At 37.6% G+C, this 16,941-nt stretch overlaps 2 long non-coding RNA genes across 2 annotated transcripts in view; both read right to left on the bottom strand.

Annotated features, from left to right (window-relative positions):
* LINC01170 (long intergenic non-protein coding RNA 1170) overlaps nt 1-16,941 on the bottom strand; it is a 378,727-nt gene that overhangs the window by 67,256 nt on the left and 294,530 nt on the right. The gene's annotated exons all lie outside the window — the stretch shown is intronic.
* Nucleotides 4,145-10,269, bottom strand: LOC101927397 (uncharacterized). Its single transcript, XR_246575.3, has 4 exons — nt 10,163-10,269; nt 7,991-8,075; nt 7,375-7,451; nt 4,145-4,949 (listed from the first exon to the last, which is right to left on the bottom strand). It is a non-coding gene; the product is annotated as an uncharacterized LOC101927397 (long non-coding RNA).

The following is a 16,941-nucleotide window of genomic DNA, read 5'->3' on the forward strand; positions in this document are numbered from 1 at the left end:
ATCATAGTTTACTGCAGCTTCAAACTCTTGGTCTCAAGGGATCCTCCCACCTCAGTCTCCTGAATAGCTACAACTACAGGCACACACCACCACACTCGGCTAATTACGTTTTTTACATTATTTTTTGTAGAGACAGGGGTCTCACTTTCTTGCCCAGACTGGTCTTGAACTGCTGGCTTCAAGCAATCCTCCCACCCCAGCCTCCCAAAGTGTTGGGCCTGCCTGGCCATATACAGTACTTTATACCGCATTGACCTATACAATCATTTACATGTGCACAAAATATGTGTGCAACATGCAGAGCTATAGCCAGGTGTGTGGTTGTGTGCAGACACATGCATATGCAGACAGAGGCGCACACACACACACACACACACACACACACACACACCAAGTCAGTACACCAGCTGTTCAGCATTATTTACAATATATTGGAATCACCGCTGACCTAAAGAGCTGAAGAAAATAACAGGCCATATTTTCAGCTTAGTAAAACCCTGCAGTAGGGAGCCCTTTATGAACAATTACAAGCATTTGCTGGAAATACATTTGCTGATTTAACAAACTGGGTAGGACAAATGTTTAACATGCTGTCGTAATGATGTTCAGATGCTTTTCTTAGTATTCGCTGATCTGAGATAATGCGTTCTTGCCCAATCATGCTACAAAGAAGCAGCGGAAATAAATAAATAAATAGATGTAATGTGATGCGCTCTCACAATAGCAGAGCTGCTGACTGCCCCTGACAGATGGGAGAAAAAAAAAGTCAATATGATGTCTGAGACAGCCCAGGCTCGGCACTGCAGAATAAATTACATGATTCGCTGAATGCCTGGGCTTCGCTCAGACATACAAAAAAATTGGAAAGATAAAAGCTTGCATTGGCTTCAGATGATATTTACTGCTTGATGGATTTACTAGCAGCCCCAGTACAGTCATACTGTATTGAATTATTGGCCTCTATTTAGCTGTGTGTCCGTCGGAGCTTGAGTGTCCATTTAAGCGTAAGTGAGCTGGAGGCCCGCCAAGTCTCTCAGAGGCTCTGGGTACAGAGGAAGACGCAAGCTAATGGCCACCAGCTTGAATAACAGGGAGCTTGAGGATACTGGGGTAGGCAACAAAGCCCAGCTACAAAGTACTTTCTTATCAATATTAATGCCAAAATAAATATTAATGGAGGCTTCCCGGCATACCATTTTTGAATGTGCCCTGTTTTCTTTGTATTTTAACACAAATAGCTGGAAATGACTGTGTGATTTTTTTCTTTCCCTCTCCTTCACACTTTTTCTCCCTTTGAATCTAAGAAGGAATTTGGAAAAGACCATTAGCTTTACTGCTGCCCGTTGTCACAGCAGCAGTGTTTCTATAAGGCAAAGGAGGCAAATGAAATGCTGGCTCTAAGAGGTATACAGCTTCCAATAAAATATATGATTAGAATTGTAATGTGCAGTACATCAGCTATTGTTACAGAGTCTTTACTGCATTGTGCTATGGCAGTTCAATTGGGAAGGAGCCTTCCATGTACAAAGCGCCCGTTAGGAAAGTTGCATTGTTATCATAGCTTCAAAAAAGAAGGTGGTGTGTGGAACAGGGGATATGTGCAACTCTCTGTACTTTCCACTCAGTTTTGCCATGAACGTAAAACAGCTCTAAAGCATAAAGTTTATTAGTTAAATAGAAACACACAAACACACATATACACACAAAGAGGGTGCAGGCAGGTTGGGTTGCGGTGGAGGAACAAAGAGGGCTAAGTGTTGAAGGCACTGGATTCAGCTACCCAGGGCCTAAAGTGTGAATGAACTGTAATTTTTCATAGTTTGTGCACTATAGGGAAGAGGGAGTAACTGGGGAGATGGGCCAGTCAAAGAGAAAGTCAGGGTCTGGCTCATCATTATTTATGGGAAAGATTAGGGGAGGGTTACTGCACAAGGATCCAGAGTGAGACCCACAGCGAGAGTTCTCAGACATCTGTGCAAGGCAACTGCTTCCATGAGCAGCACCAAGAGACCACATGCTCCAGGAAGATGCACATGGAGCATGCCAGCTGACTAAGTGTGCAAGGCCGGCTTCAGGAGGGTCTCCATGCTCTGGCAAGAGCAGGCACAGCCTCCAAGGCCAGAAACCCTCCCTGCATCGACTTGCCATGCAACCCTGAGCAAATCACTTAATTTCTTTTGTCCCTATTCTCTATCCTGTAAAATAGTTGATGATATCATAATAACAATGAACTACATTACAACATATTTAATGGATCAGGTGGAGTATGGATGACAAAAAGGTGAGCAGTGTTTCAGCAGTGTTAAACTTTTGGAGTGCATTTATGATCATTCTCACATTTATTCTCTCCACAGAACAGTGCATGGGTCTTGCTATGCCCATTTTATAGAATAGAAAAGTGAGGCACAGCTACTTAACCCAGGTCGCACAGCTAGATCACAGAAACACTAAGACTGGCCCCTAAGCCTCCCTTCTGATATACTTTCTGAACTATGAAACTTGAAAAGTCACCATCCCCTATTTGAACAGCAGGAGTAGGCACAGGTGACCCAGTGGACCCAGAAGTGCATCACTACCCTGAACTTGACTTGCTGCAGGACCTCTGATCACATCCCCTAAGTCCCTGGCCCTTCTCTCCAGCTCAGACCTGCCACTGTGAGGGGTTCCTGGGACCAGCAGTGTTCAGATAGACTAGCTGGGGGATCCCAAGGCCCCGAATGCCTAGGATAGACATCTCTCGGCTGGCTTTATGCAGAGCAAACTATTCTGAGGCTGAAGGGGCGTTGGATGCCACGGTCCGTCCCGCCTGCTTTCTGGGTGCTGCTCTCACTTTGCAGACTGCTCACAACAAACAGCAACCATCTATTTCATTCTGACCGGTTCTCACACTAGAACACTTAAATCCATTCTTTCTTTCTCTTGCTTTCTCAAAGCAAAAGAATCCATAAGGCAAAAGGAAATAATCACTGTATCTCAGACTCACAATAATGGAGCATAATTGCTATTTTCGTCTTGGTACTTGACACACATCATCTCACTTCTTCATCAGAATAGTGCCACAAAGTTGTCAGTATTGTTTGTTTTCATTTTCCACAGATGAGTGAATTGAGGTTCCAAGAGGTTAAATCTTTGCTCAGGGTCACACAACTGGTAAGTCAATAAGCTCAGCTTTAAAGCCCTGATTTGGCTGGTTCCAAAGCCCAGGTTTCTCCAGAAAATGTGATGCTCTTTCTGGGATGGCCCTGAAGAGTCTCTGTTTAACAATGCAAGAGAGTTGGCAATCTATTTTTTAAAGTCTTTTATGAAAAATGATCAAGTTTTTCTAATGATACTTTAAGAAAGGAAGAATGTAAATACTATTATGTGTTGTAATTCACCTTTTCTTACAAGGATTTTTTTCTAAAAGCCCCAAGTAGTTTGGTACAGAGTCAAATACCTGGAGCTGGAATCAAACTGGCTGGAGTTCCAGGCCCTGCCCCACCAAGGGCTAACATTCAAACTTTAACATTCTTGTGCCTCATTGCACTCAAGTTCATGTAATGGTAATAACAATACTTTGCTTGTAAGGTTGTTAGGAATATTGAAATAACGTATGGTGCCTTAGCCCATAGGCCTCAATACTTGAGGCTTCTTATTGGTAGTAATAGTAGTATCAACATAACAATGTACATGATTGACTTAAAGTAATTAAACTATGAGACACCAGCCAGCCAGTGTCATAAAATAGGCAGATCACGACAGAGAGGGTGCTTTATTACTCTTAGTAACTACCAAAATGATATTGTTAGTTGCTAGAATAACCTGCAGATTATAAATAGGGAGCTGCAAACACACATGGGACCAGGGGCTCTCTTCAAAGGGTTGCTGTTTCAGATAGAGGGCAAGAGTGACTTTGAATCTGGCAGTCTCTGTGGCATCTGCTTATGGGAGGTAGTACTGAGAGATGTCTTGTTTCTTGGCCAGGGTGACACGATTTGTGATTTATGCCCCTTATCACACCAGGGCTCAGCAAGCAGCAGCCTCTCTGCAGGGGAGACGCATGGCATTGCCATCACACGGAACCCGATTGTGCCATCTGGCAACAATCGGATTTCGTGTGATGGCAGAAATGTACATATACTTTCTGGAATTGATGCAGAAAAAGTGGTTTTAAATTTTTTTATTAACATATATATTTGACAAGCCTATAGATTCATGTTACTAATACTAGGATATATGATCTCTTAAAAGAAGACACATTGAACCACTTTCATAAACACTATAAAAAGTAAAGGACTACATATAAATCCCACATTTTGAAGCATCAAAAACAACAATAATTGCTTTAATTTCATGCTCTTGCACTTATATCATTTGTTCCCACTTTTAATCTGTTAGCTTAAAATCTTCAGCTTCTTTACGAGTACTTGTGTAAAAGTTGACTGAAGCTTACTATTCAGTACGTATGATGTATGTCAAATCAAATATACTATCATTTGCTAACAGTCACTTATAGACAGCAGAGCTCAGTTAAAATCTACCAGTAATTAGAGTCAACACTGGATGTGTTAACAGGGCCCATGTTAATGGATGTGCTAATTATTCTTCTCTGCGACAGACCCTGGCACCTGTTTGGTTTCAAGTTGGGACAAAGAGAGATTCTAGAATGATAGAGGAAGGAGGTCATCCAGGCCAATCCCTTCATTATACACAGGCAGAGTTTCAGAGTCCAAGATACACATCAATTATGGGATCTCTGTTTCATGAGAAATGCTAAGAAGATAATAAAAATAAACTACTACAGTGTGAATACTTAAAACTGCACATGGAAAGGGGAATCATTCATTAATGGGGAAAATACAAAGAGTAAGAATAAATGGCTCACCCTAAGATTGAAGTGATTAATAGGAATTCTCCCTTGGGATCCATCAATAGCAGGACCATTATTCTCTGGTATATTTATTAACAACCTGTAAGATGAATGAGGTGAGAAATAGTTGAATTTGATGACAAAATGGAAAGATTTAGGAAAATAGTAAACTATTATAGGAAAAAAATCTGAGAAAACCCTATATTAAACTAAAATAAGGGGGAAAAAAGAAGCGTGGACACATTGGAGCCTCTCGGAAAAAAAAAGAAAGTTATTGTGCATTATTCAGAAAGAATCTCTTCTGAATATTCAAGAGCAGACTGAATTTGATGAAGGACTCTGAGAATTGCTGTGAATAATTTTGTTAATAAATAAGCACAGACTGAACTAGTAGACACCCATTCTGTATGAGATAAAAAATAAGTCAGCTTCTGCCATGCCATGACCAGCCCATTCTGGTTTTTAGGGCTCTATCACTTCTGGCCTCTTAGGACTCTTCCTTAACTTATCCATCACGTCAGACTTCTCTGCAACTCTTAACCCCTCCAGCCTTACTAATTTGTGCCTAACTGACACCCGGAACCAGACACAGCTAACAATCTCCAAAGTGGTGCACCTACCTATGCCCTTCACATGCAAAATATTTAGAGCCAAAAGAATGGACCACCTGCTTCCTGAATGATCAAGCAAGATGAGAAAGCACAAAGTGTTAGGTACACAGAATGTACGGCTGCCTTGCGTTGTGAAAATTTGCTTAGAAATTCCAAGTTGTGAGTAAATGTGAAACCTCCTCTAATTGCTCATAGTCCCATCAGTAGCATCTGCCAGCAGGCATAGGAGCTCTTTTTTTTCTTTTTCCACTCAAGTCACCACTGGATGTGGAAGCCATCTTTCCCTCTTTGTTCCACCACTGACACAGGTGACCATGGCACTGCAGATGGCTCCTACCATAGCACTGTGGGCTCTCACATCTTGCTTATATTTCAAGACAATGTGAAAGTATGGGAAGAGAGAGACACAGCAATAGGCATCTGTCTTGGGTGAGTAGGAATTTCCATGTGTAACATGTCCTGACTTGCTGAGAATCTTTGTGCCTTGTGGGAGGCTCATTTGATTCTGCTCCACCTCCATGGCTTGCTTCTCCAGGTGTTGTGAGCCAGCTCCTCACTGATGTGTCAACACACCTGATTAGCCTGCAGTGGCAGGGTTTCCACACTTTCTGGAGAATACCCTTCATTTCTCTGGATGGAAGCCCAAAAGATTAAAGTCCATTAAGATGTCAAAGGAAAATAGAACTTTAATACCCTTAGCTAATGATCTTCTGGCAGGCTGTCTCTTTCTCCCTCTGTCTCTGTCTCTCTCCCCCTGCTACCTTGATATATACACACAAACTAGGTATTTATTATATATTATATGTATTATATATTATATACTAATATATTTTCTGAATACATATATATTAAGAAACAGAATATATATTCAGAAAATATATTTTAGTATATATTATATGTATTAATATAGAACTGTGAGAAATAGAATATATACATACTATTTTATATACTATCTCTATATATATTTAAAATATATGTATGTACAGAGCCTTAGCTCAGGCTACTACAACAAGAATACCAGATAGACTGGTTGGCTTAAACAAAAAAAAACATCTTTTTCTCACAGTTCTGGAGGCTAGAAATCTGAGATCAGGGTGCCAGCATGGTTAGGTCCCGGGAAGGGCCCACTTCTTGCTTTCCTTGTATGGTAGAGAGTGAGAGGAGGCAATCTTACTATTGTCTCTTCCTATAAGGCTACTAATTCCATCATGATGGTTTCACCTTCATGGTCTAATTACCTCCCAAAAGCCCCATTTTCCAATACCATCACATTGGGGATTGGGGGTTTAACATGTGACTATTAAAGTGACACAAACATTCAATCCATAGCATATATATGTGTATGTATATGTATATATTCTTACAGAAGGTAAGATCACGTGGATAAAAACATGTTAAAAAGGAAGCTTCTATATATGCAGAGAGATCACATAAAACTTGTTTTCACATAAAATATGGTTTGTAAAATTTTCTTCAGTTGAATGTCACCATAGAAAGTAACTAAAGTTAGAGTCTAAATTATTTCAACAGTAGTTGTTGAACTTATGAGAATAACAATGAGCCCTGAATAATAGTATTCTTGTATCCAAGGTTCAGCACATACAGCTGTGGGGATAAAGCCTGCTGTGCATGATACAGGCCGGCATAATTGTTCAGTTATGGCACCCAGGTGTCAGCCCTTCCACTAAACTTTATAATATGGTCATGGACACCCCCCAAGGTGTTATGGAAGACAAAAGGGACCATAACCATGAAAATTTATACATGTAATTATCATAGTTCTCATAGCAATAATGTGCATATCTGTTAATTTTTTAAAAGTGTCTCTATACTTCTGGTGGGTGTTTTTTGGTATTATAGTTTAAATTGGGTGTCTCTAGATAAAGTTAGATATTGACCATTGTTGAAAATTACCTGGGGTGACTTTACCACCTGACAGCTTCTTTAACCTAATGAGTCATCAAACACAATTGAACTTGAAATGTCCACCTCTGTTAAATGGGGAAAAAAAAATTGTTAAAGGCTATTAGAATAAAATGAGAATAGAAATATATACACATATATGAGCATTTTATAAATTGTTATGTCTAATATGTACATATGAATACATATATTTATTCCTCCTTGTTAAAATTCTATGTGCAATAGTGGAAATTCAGTATAAAGTAGGACTTTAGTGCATTCTATTAAGGAACATTTACCTGAGGAACTAAGAAGATTTTGCTCAGCAAGGAAACCTTGAATGGGAGAGCTCCTCCTCATAAGAATCTCAAGAGTAATGCTGTAATTGTGAACTTCAGCATGAAAGATACATCTATGATCATGTTTAAGGCATACATATATTTGAAATGAGATATTGTCAAAGGAAAAATCTTCCCCAGTAGAATCATTCATACTTAAGGAACTAATGAGATCATCCACATAGATAATGAATCCATTACTTGAAAGAGAAATCAAATTGTAAATTTATATCCTGTATTTCCACTGATGTATATAAATATTGAATGAAATATGAATAAAAATACCTCACCTTATCACTCATGTGTCCAACTGAACCATTTCCAAAGTAAATAAAAAAAGTCGCGTTGAAATTACTTCTAGTTTTCATGATCTCACTGGGAAGAGAAATAATTTTATTCAATAGTCTGCTGTAACTCTGTCATTATGCTGTAGTGAGGTAATTTGCTAAAACAGCTGCCTCTAATGAGTAAACCTTTCCATCTGGCACATCCAGTATAGATACAAACAACTTCATCAGTTTTAAATAAAAAAGTAAAGAAGAGGAACTCTATTTCATGAAAAAATAAATAATTCTATTTTATGAAGTGGCTCTTGAACTAAACACAGGATAAATGCATTTTGAGGAGAAGACCATTTCTGTTTCTCTTGCTGGAGCCGTTTTGTCTGTTCCCAGGCTAAGAGCTCACAAACTTGTTCCAAATTTCTTTTTGCCATGTTGATAATGTGGATAGATTATAAATAATTATATATAATCTGGAGAGATTATAAAACAATTCAGTATAGGTCTATAATAGATTCAACACACAAGAAAACCTAGACAAAAGGAATGCTCTTGTAATATGTTAACTCAAAACTAGAATGAGTAAACATGTTTTTCATAATATCTACATTTTTTAACTTATCTTTTATTCTGAGAAATTATTATTAGGATCTTAATGTAAAGCCGCATTCCATTCAGAAATCCTTGATACCTCACGTGGAACTTTGACTAGCAGATATTCAAAGAAACTTTTGCTACCTGAATAATTGGTGGAAAACTGCATAACACTATAATCTTCTTAACTGCTAATTATTTGGGGTCAGTTTTTATAAAATATTAACTCTTCCCTTTACCATTGTGATAGTTAATACTGAGTGGCAACTTGATTGGATTGAAGGATGCAAAGTATTGTTCCTGGATGTGTCTGTGAGGGTCCGAAGGAGATTAACGTTTGAGTCAGTGGGCTGGGAAAGGCAGACCCACCATTAATCTGAGTGGGCACCATCTAATCAGCCACCAGCATGGCCAGGATATAAAGCAGGCAGAAAAATGCGAAAAGACTAGCCTGGCCTAGCCTCCCAGCCTACATCTTTCTCCCATGCTGGATGCTTCCTGCCCCCAAACATCGGACTCCAAGTTCTTCAGTTTTGGGACTCAGACTGGCTCTCCTTGCCCCTCAGCTTGCAGTTGGCTTATTGTGAGACCTTATGATCACGTGAGTTAATACTTAATAAACTCCCCTTTATATATTTATCTATGCTATTAGTTCTGTCCCTCTAGAGAACCCTAGCACAACCATGTATCTGTTACTATTTTTCAGCAAATATCTGGGCTTAGATTTGAGTGACCAAATTGTCTATTTTACTTTATTTTTAACTACAGACATTTTGACTTCTGGTGAATGAAGTGCAGGCTGCTCAATTTTTCTTTTTCATGAAGCTGATTTATTTAGGCTTAGTTTTAGAAATATAGGTATTACAATTTCTCAGGTTCCTAACACTGCATGCTTCCTAGGTTAAAATAAAGTTTAGATATATATGGAATTGTGTAGAAAAAAGTCATAGGGTTTAGGTTAGAATCAGATTTCATAGCACTGATCTTACTAAAATGTTTTCTAACCAAAGGCAAGCTAACTGTTCATTAAAATGGAAGCCACTGAGATGAATATGTCAGGGATTCTCAATCCAAGTGCTGACATTCTGGCTAAAAGAGCAGTAAGAGATGGATGATATAGGCACAGTCTTGGCATGTCTGAGCCCTGTGCCAGAAGGTTATCAGCCCTTTTGGGGGAGATAATATCTGCAGCTTTAATTTTCTCTCTGACTACCAGGCATAATGTAAAATTAATGTGCATCATGTCAAGGTTATGGCAAGGCATTGTTGTCTGGAAGGGAAAACTGTTTGCTCCCCCGCCCTCCAAACACTTGCACATACCGTGATAATACATTATTAAAAAGCACATTTCTTTGTCATTGTCAATAGTGGTGAGCCAGTAAAGGATATTTTCCAGCACTCATTATGCAGGAGGAAGTTAAGAGACTTCTAAAACTCAGTCTTAAAACAAAGAACATACTTTGTTTATTCATAAAACAAAAATAGTTCCATCTTATCTAGCATTAATAAAAATAAAGTCAAACAAGACATTTGTTCAATTACCTTCCTGGTATTTGAATTGTAAATCAGTAATTCTTGGACTTTTACCTGATCCTACAAACCAGTGATGGGTCTCCAAATTTGTATTTTTGTCCAGAACCATCCCCAGACCCAGATGACTCTAAAATAAGCAGCTGGTAGAGAATTATGATTCTGCCTGAAAAAGATAGGAAAAGCTTTATAACAATAACATCTCTTGTATTCCCTCATCATCTGACTCTTCTCATAGGTCTAGCCTTATACACAAACTCACAGATGGAAGAAAACTCCAGTATTTTTTATGATAAAGATGTGTTCCTTGAGGGTAGAACAGAGGATTATAAACATTTTCCTAATGGAAGAAATCTATAGATAGGCAGAACCAAAAGGAAATAAATGTTTGCTAAATAAATTTCAAAAGAACAAGATTAAATTCAAGCAAATGAGTTATAAGAATAAAATTATGGCAAAAGGATTGTTATAAAAACCAATGTCCATGCTACAGTTTTGTTAACAGTGATGAAAACAAAATGTGCCCTCTTATCTGATTTAAAGTGTTGAAAGATGAAGATAGATCCCTTTTCCCTGAACATATTAAATTCAAGTCTAAATAGTCCTCCAAAAGTAAATTGATTTTAACCTTGCTCACATTTTCTCTACTTCTCTCTTCAGTAGCTAATAATGTGTAGTATTACATGTGGATTAGGCACAATACTAGAGCCTTGTGAAGAAGACAGGTCTCTAGGAATATGACATGTGAGAGCCCTCCTGATGTTTAGCTAGGTTTTTGAAAAAATAAATAAATAAATAAACAAACAAAAACTAGTGTAAAATAAAGAGACATAAACTGAATTTAAATAATTAGTACAACCTATTATAAGGAAAAGTCAGGATAATTTTAAGAGCTATCTCAGTTTGCCACATTTATAGCTGCTAGGCGCTCAGGCTTCAGATATTTTGTAGAATCCTTGCCAGGGTCATTCTACCTTGCCTCCATGGGAGCAGGGTGTATTAGTCAGCTTGGGCTGCCATAACAAAATACTACAGACTGAATGGCTTAAACAACAGACACTTATTTTTACCAAGTTCTGGTGCTGGCAAATTTGGGTTTTGGTAAGGGCTGTCTTCCTGGCTCCCTTCTCACTGTATCCTCACACGGCCCTCCCTCTGAGCTTGCTTGCTAATATCTTTTCCTCTTCTTATAAGGTATAGGTATTCTATTGGATTAGGATCCCATCCTTATGAACTTATTTAACCTTAATAACTTCCTTATAGATCCTGTCTCCAAATACAGTCACATTGGAGTTGGGGGTTCCAATATGAATTTTGGGGGAACAAAATTCAGGCTATATTACAGGTTTAAGGAACACTTAAGATGGGACCATAGGTAGCCCATGGGCCACATGTGGATGTGCTAGAACAAGTCCTTCCTTCCTCTCAGTAGATGTAGTTCTGTCCATTAGGGTGGACAGCTATGGATTTGATTCTGGCCCCTAATTACCTTATTAGTCATAAGTTCTTTGCAGGGCACAACTTGTTCAACCAAAAGTGAATTTGAAGAATCCAAAGAGGAGTCTTGGGCAACTTTGGACCTCAATAATGACAAAAAGAGCCTTCAGCAGAGATAACCAGAGGCCAACTTTCAAATATTGGTAGAATAAAAACCTATCCTAAAATATCTCACTTCCATTTTAGACAGCTACTAGATAATCCAGCATGCCAGACATAGAACTTAGATTCCACCAGACTCAGGTTTAGATCAGAATACACCCCCAAGCACCCTGATGCATACCTGAGGAAAACACAGGAGCATCCATAACCCAAGCAGAAATCTACCTAGGATCCAAACTAAGTACATCTATTTATTTAGATCACGGTAGCACAGAGAGCAGCTTCTAATAAAAATCAGCCTAGTCCCTGAGAAGACTTCATTCATGAAAAGTACCAGAGGTCAGGCTTGACCCCCTGGATTGCCCTGGCTGGAGGCTCCTTAAGGAGAACCAGTGTTGTACAATGGATAAGATGCCAGGTTCTGAGGCCAGGTTGTCTGGATTTGAATCCTGGATCTACCCTGTGATGGCTGTATGACCTTGGCCAAGTTACTTAACATTCTATGCTTCATTTCTCTCATTTTAAAAATGGCTATAATTATATTGCCTATTTCAGATTGATTGTGAGGATTAAATAAATGAGTACACATATACTATCACTTATTTAAAATTCTCAAACCAAAGAAGTGAAAACCTAAAAGATTTTTGTGCCCCTTTAGAGACAAAAACTGACAAACTTATTTGGCAGGAAAGCTTGGTTTGGTCTGAAATTAGACTATGTATAATCCTTATTCATCCCACTTAGTGTTAATATTCATATTTTGCTACAGAAATATGAAAATATATTTGATTACAGAGTGCTGCCTCAGACTCAGCTTGAGATATAAGGTTATATTTGGTATACACACCTTTCTAAAATAGGAAAATACAAAATTGGCTCCTAGGGTTGCAGATAAGGAATTGTAGACTTAGAACAGTAACTAGCACTTAGCAAGTCTATTTAAGTGTTAGCTTTTAAAAGACTGTCCTGTGACTAAGTGTTCCACATACAGAAAGGGAGATCAGTGACCCTATCTGCTCCATAAACTTCAACTTCAAGTTACAGAATCATAGGATAATAGAGCTAGGAACAGGCTGAGAGATGATTTTTTCCAGTCACACATTTTGTAGATACCAAAAACAGATACTAAGCTTCTGACCATAAAGGAGTAACAGGGTCCAGATTTACCCTACCACCTGAAATAACCAAAAAATATATTATAAAACAGTTTTCAGTAGGACATCAGTCAATGAAGAACAGTGATCTCAAGGAGATGGAATACAAAAAGGTAAGCCCTATGATTGCCATAGTTAACTGACTGGAGAAAGTTTCCAGGCAAGGACAGGAAATACAGACAGAGCTTGGTAAAGTCCTTGAGTTGTGACCAAAGTGGATAGAGTTTGCAAGTCAGAGAGCTAGACAGAAGAGACATACATAGAGATGGGACTTTGGAGATCAGCAGAGCATCCCCTGGAGTGTACAGCTGAGTGCTATCTATACATGCATGTGAAGAAACTGCCTGAGGCTGGGAAAAGAAACACTCAAAAGAATGAAAAGGAAAAGTACCCAGCACTTACACAGGACTGGGAATTGTGCCTCCTGTTCCCATGAGCCAGAATGAAAAGAAAAAAACAAAACAAAACAAAAAAAACAACAACAAGATTTATGGTGCATTGGGGTAGAATACACAAAAGGATCTTTTCTCAGTCATGGAGAATAATTAGCCCTAGACTGAATACTATTCTGGTTCTGCCTAAAATATCTTAAAAGCAGAACCCACAAGGCTGAAACTGTTTTCTAAATAACTTAAATGAGTCCCAGAACAAAACTTAAGAATACGTATAGGAATATAAAATATTCAGCAGCCAATAAGGTGAAAACCACAAAGTCTGGGATACAATAAAAAAGGACCAAGCATACAAAGAAGCAGGAAAATATGACCCATAACAGGAAACATAGTCAATCAAAACTGACACAGACTTTTCTCAATTCCTCTCACTAAATACAACTAAAAACCCTGGACATTATAGATAAAACAAACATAAGACTCTGAAGGTGGGGAGAAGAAGGCAAACCAGCTAGGGAAGTCAAGACTCAAGGAATATGTTGGTGAGTTCCCTGGGTTTTCTGTTTCCCTCAGATAGCCCAGAGTTGGTGCTCTACAAATGGGAAAGCCAAAATATCAACATCTGCAGGCAAAAATAAGCCTTAACAGAAGCCTTCTGTCTCTAACCAAAGGTCTATGAGGGCAGCATAGCAAGACAAAAAACTTTTAGAAAACAATCGCTGTCTTCAATCAGAGATCACAGAAAAAAACAGCATTCCCACCCCTTCCATTCCAGCAAAGGACCAGTGAGTATTTTTTCCTTTGTGAGGTTTTAATGGGGTATCACAAGATATTTGTTGGGGTAGTATCAGAGAAGGTCAAGACTGGAGCCAGGTCTTTTAACACTGCAAACTGGCAGCAAATCCCCATTTCCCTGAAGTGTCGTGAAGACCAGTGGGGGAAGCAAGATACCTGCACCCCATCCTAGTTAAGCAGCATTGCCCCTTCCCCTGCCAGAGTGGTGTCAAAGAAAGCTACCGAAAACAGAAGGTTTAAATAATTTCTAGAATCTAATAATATAATATGAAAATATTCAGATTTCAATTGAAAATTATTCATCATGCCAAGAACCAAAACAATCTCAAAATGAATGAAAAAAACAATCAATAGATACTATGCTGAAATTACAGGAATGCTAAAATTATCTGGCAAAGATTTTAAAGCAGCCCTGACAAGAGTCCTTTTCCTGAGAAAACAGACTTGAAAAAATGAAAAAATAGAAAGCTTCACCCAGTATATAGAAAGTTTCAGTAAAGAAATAGGAGATATATTTAAAAATTAGAATTTTAGTACTGAAAATTACAGTAATTGAAAGGAAAGCTCTGTTAATGGGCTCAACAGCATAATGAAAGGAACGTAAAAATGAATTTGTGAAATGGAAGACAGAACTATAGAGACTGCCCAATCTGGACAGCAGAGAGGAAGTGGACTAAAACACAAAAATAAAGAGGGCCTTAGTGACCTGTGGGACTATAACAAAAGATCTAAATTTCTGTCATTGAGTCCCAGAAAGAAAGGAGAAAAAAAGGCAGGGCTGAAAAAGTGCTCAAATTAAAAATGGCTGAAAACTTACCAAATCTAGGAAAACATTTGAACATACACTTGCAAGATGCAAAGTGAATGGCAAGCATGATAACACAAAGAAATCTGTTCCAAAACAACTTCTGAAAATTAAAGAAAAAATTTTTGAAAGCAGCCAGAAAAAAAAAATTGACACCTTACCTATAGGGGCAAATATTCAAATGACAACAGATTCCTCATTAGAACTTATGGAAACCAGAAAGAAGTGGCACAACAGTTTTCAAGTGATGAAAGAGAAAAAAACAGAACTGTCAACACAGAATCCTACACCCAGTAAAAATATCTTATAGGAAAGAAGAGAAAAATCAAGTGTTCTCACACGGAAGAAAACTAAGATAATTTGACACTAGCAGACCTACCCTAAAATGACTAAAGAAAATTCAATAAACAGAAAAGAAATCATAAAAAAAGAAGCTTGGAACATCAGAAAGAAAGAGAGAACACGATAAAAATATGGGTAAATAGAAGAGATTTTGCTTCTCTTGAGTTTTCTAAAGTTTGCTTTATGGTTGAAACAAAAATCAACAGTGTCTGATGTGGTCCTAAATGTATGTAAAGAAAACATTTAAGACAATTATAAGTAGGGGATGGTAGAAGAGCATAAAGGTCAGTGATAATTCTATACTTCACTAGAAATGTTAAAATGACAACACCAGTAGACTGCAATAAGTTATGTATGTATATTGTAACACCTAGAACAACCACCACAAAAGCTATAAAAAAAGCACTCAAAAGCATAAATAAATCAAAATCTTTAGAAATGTGCATATAATCCACATAAAAACAGAAAGAAGAAAGTAAAGAAGTGAAACGCAGAGAATAAACAAAAAACAAAATATAAAATGGCAGAATCGAGCCTTAACATATCAATAATTACATTAAATTTAAATGGTTACTACATCAATAGAAGACAGAGATAGGCAGCACTGATTTTAAAAACAACTCCTCCCAACTATATGCTACAAGAAACCCCTTCAAATATAATGATATTGACCAGTTGAAAATAAAAGGGTGGAAAAGACATATCATGCAAACAAGAGAAAAGCAAGAGTGGTTATAGTAATATCAAATAAAGTACCCTGTAGAGCAAAGAAAATTACCAGCTGCAGAGATTATATGTCATGATAAAAGTGTCAATTCACCAAAAAGTCATAGCAATCTTAAATGTATTTACACCAAACAATAGAACTGCAAAATACATGAAGTAAAACTGACAAAGCTGAAAGAAGAAATAAATCCAAAATTATATTTGAAGATTGCAATAACTTTCTCTCAAAATTGATATAACAGCTACATGGAAAATCAACAGTTATACAGAATTCAATAACACCAACAACCAACAGAATCTAATCAACATTTATGAAACACACACCCTACAAGAGCAGAATACATTGTTTTCAAGTGTCCATATAATATATTCTAAGATATGCCATATCCTGAATCATGAATGTAAAAGAATTGAAATTATCCAGATTGTGTTCTCTGACCACAATGGAATAAACTGGAAATCAGTAACAGAAAGATAACAGAAAAATCTCTAAGTACTTGAAAACTAAACAATACATTTTAAAGTAGTCTGTGGGTCAAATACAAAAACTCAAGGGAAATTTTAAAAATACACTGAGAAATAAAAGTGAAAATACAATGTATCAAAATTTGTGGGGCACAGCTAAAGCACTGCTGAGTGGGAAATGTACAGCATAAAATATATACATTAGATAGAGAAGAAATAACAAAAATAATCTGAATTCCCACCTAAAGAACCTAGAAAAAAAAGGGAATAAAATAAACACAAACCAAGCAGTAGGAGGAAAATAATAAACAAGAGAAATCAGTGAAATCGAAAACAGAAAAACAATAGAGAACATCAATGAAACAATGAGATGGTTCTTTGAAAAGATCAACAAAATTGACAAATCTTTGGCAAGACTAAGAAAAAAGAAGAGAAAAAGCAAATGTTGGTTAATTTCAGAAATGAAACAGGACATATTACTACAGACCCTGCAGACATAAAGTGAAGAATAAAAGAACACTATGAACAACTAACGCAATTCACCTTATATGAAATAGG

The sequence above is a fragment of the Homo sapiens genome, chromosome 5 (assembly GCF_000001405.40).
Source record: "Homo sapiens chromosome 5, GRCh38.p14 Primary Assembly".
NCBI lineage: Eukaryota > Metazoa > Chordata > Mammalia > Primates > Hominidae > Homo > Homo sapiens.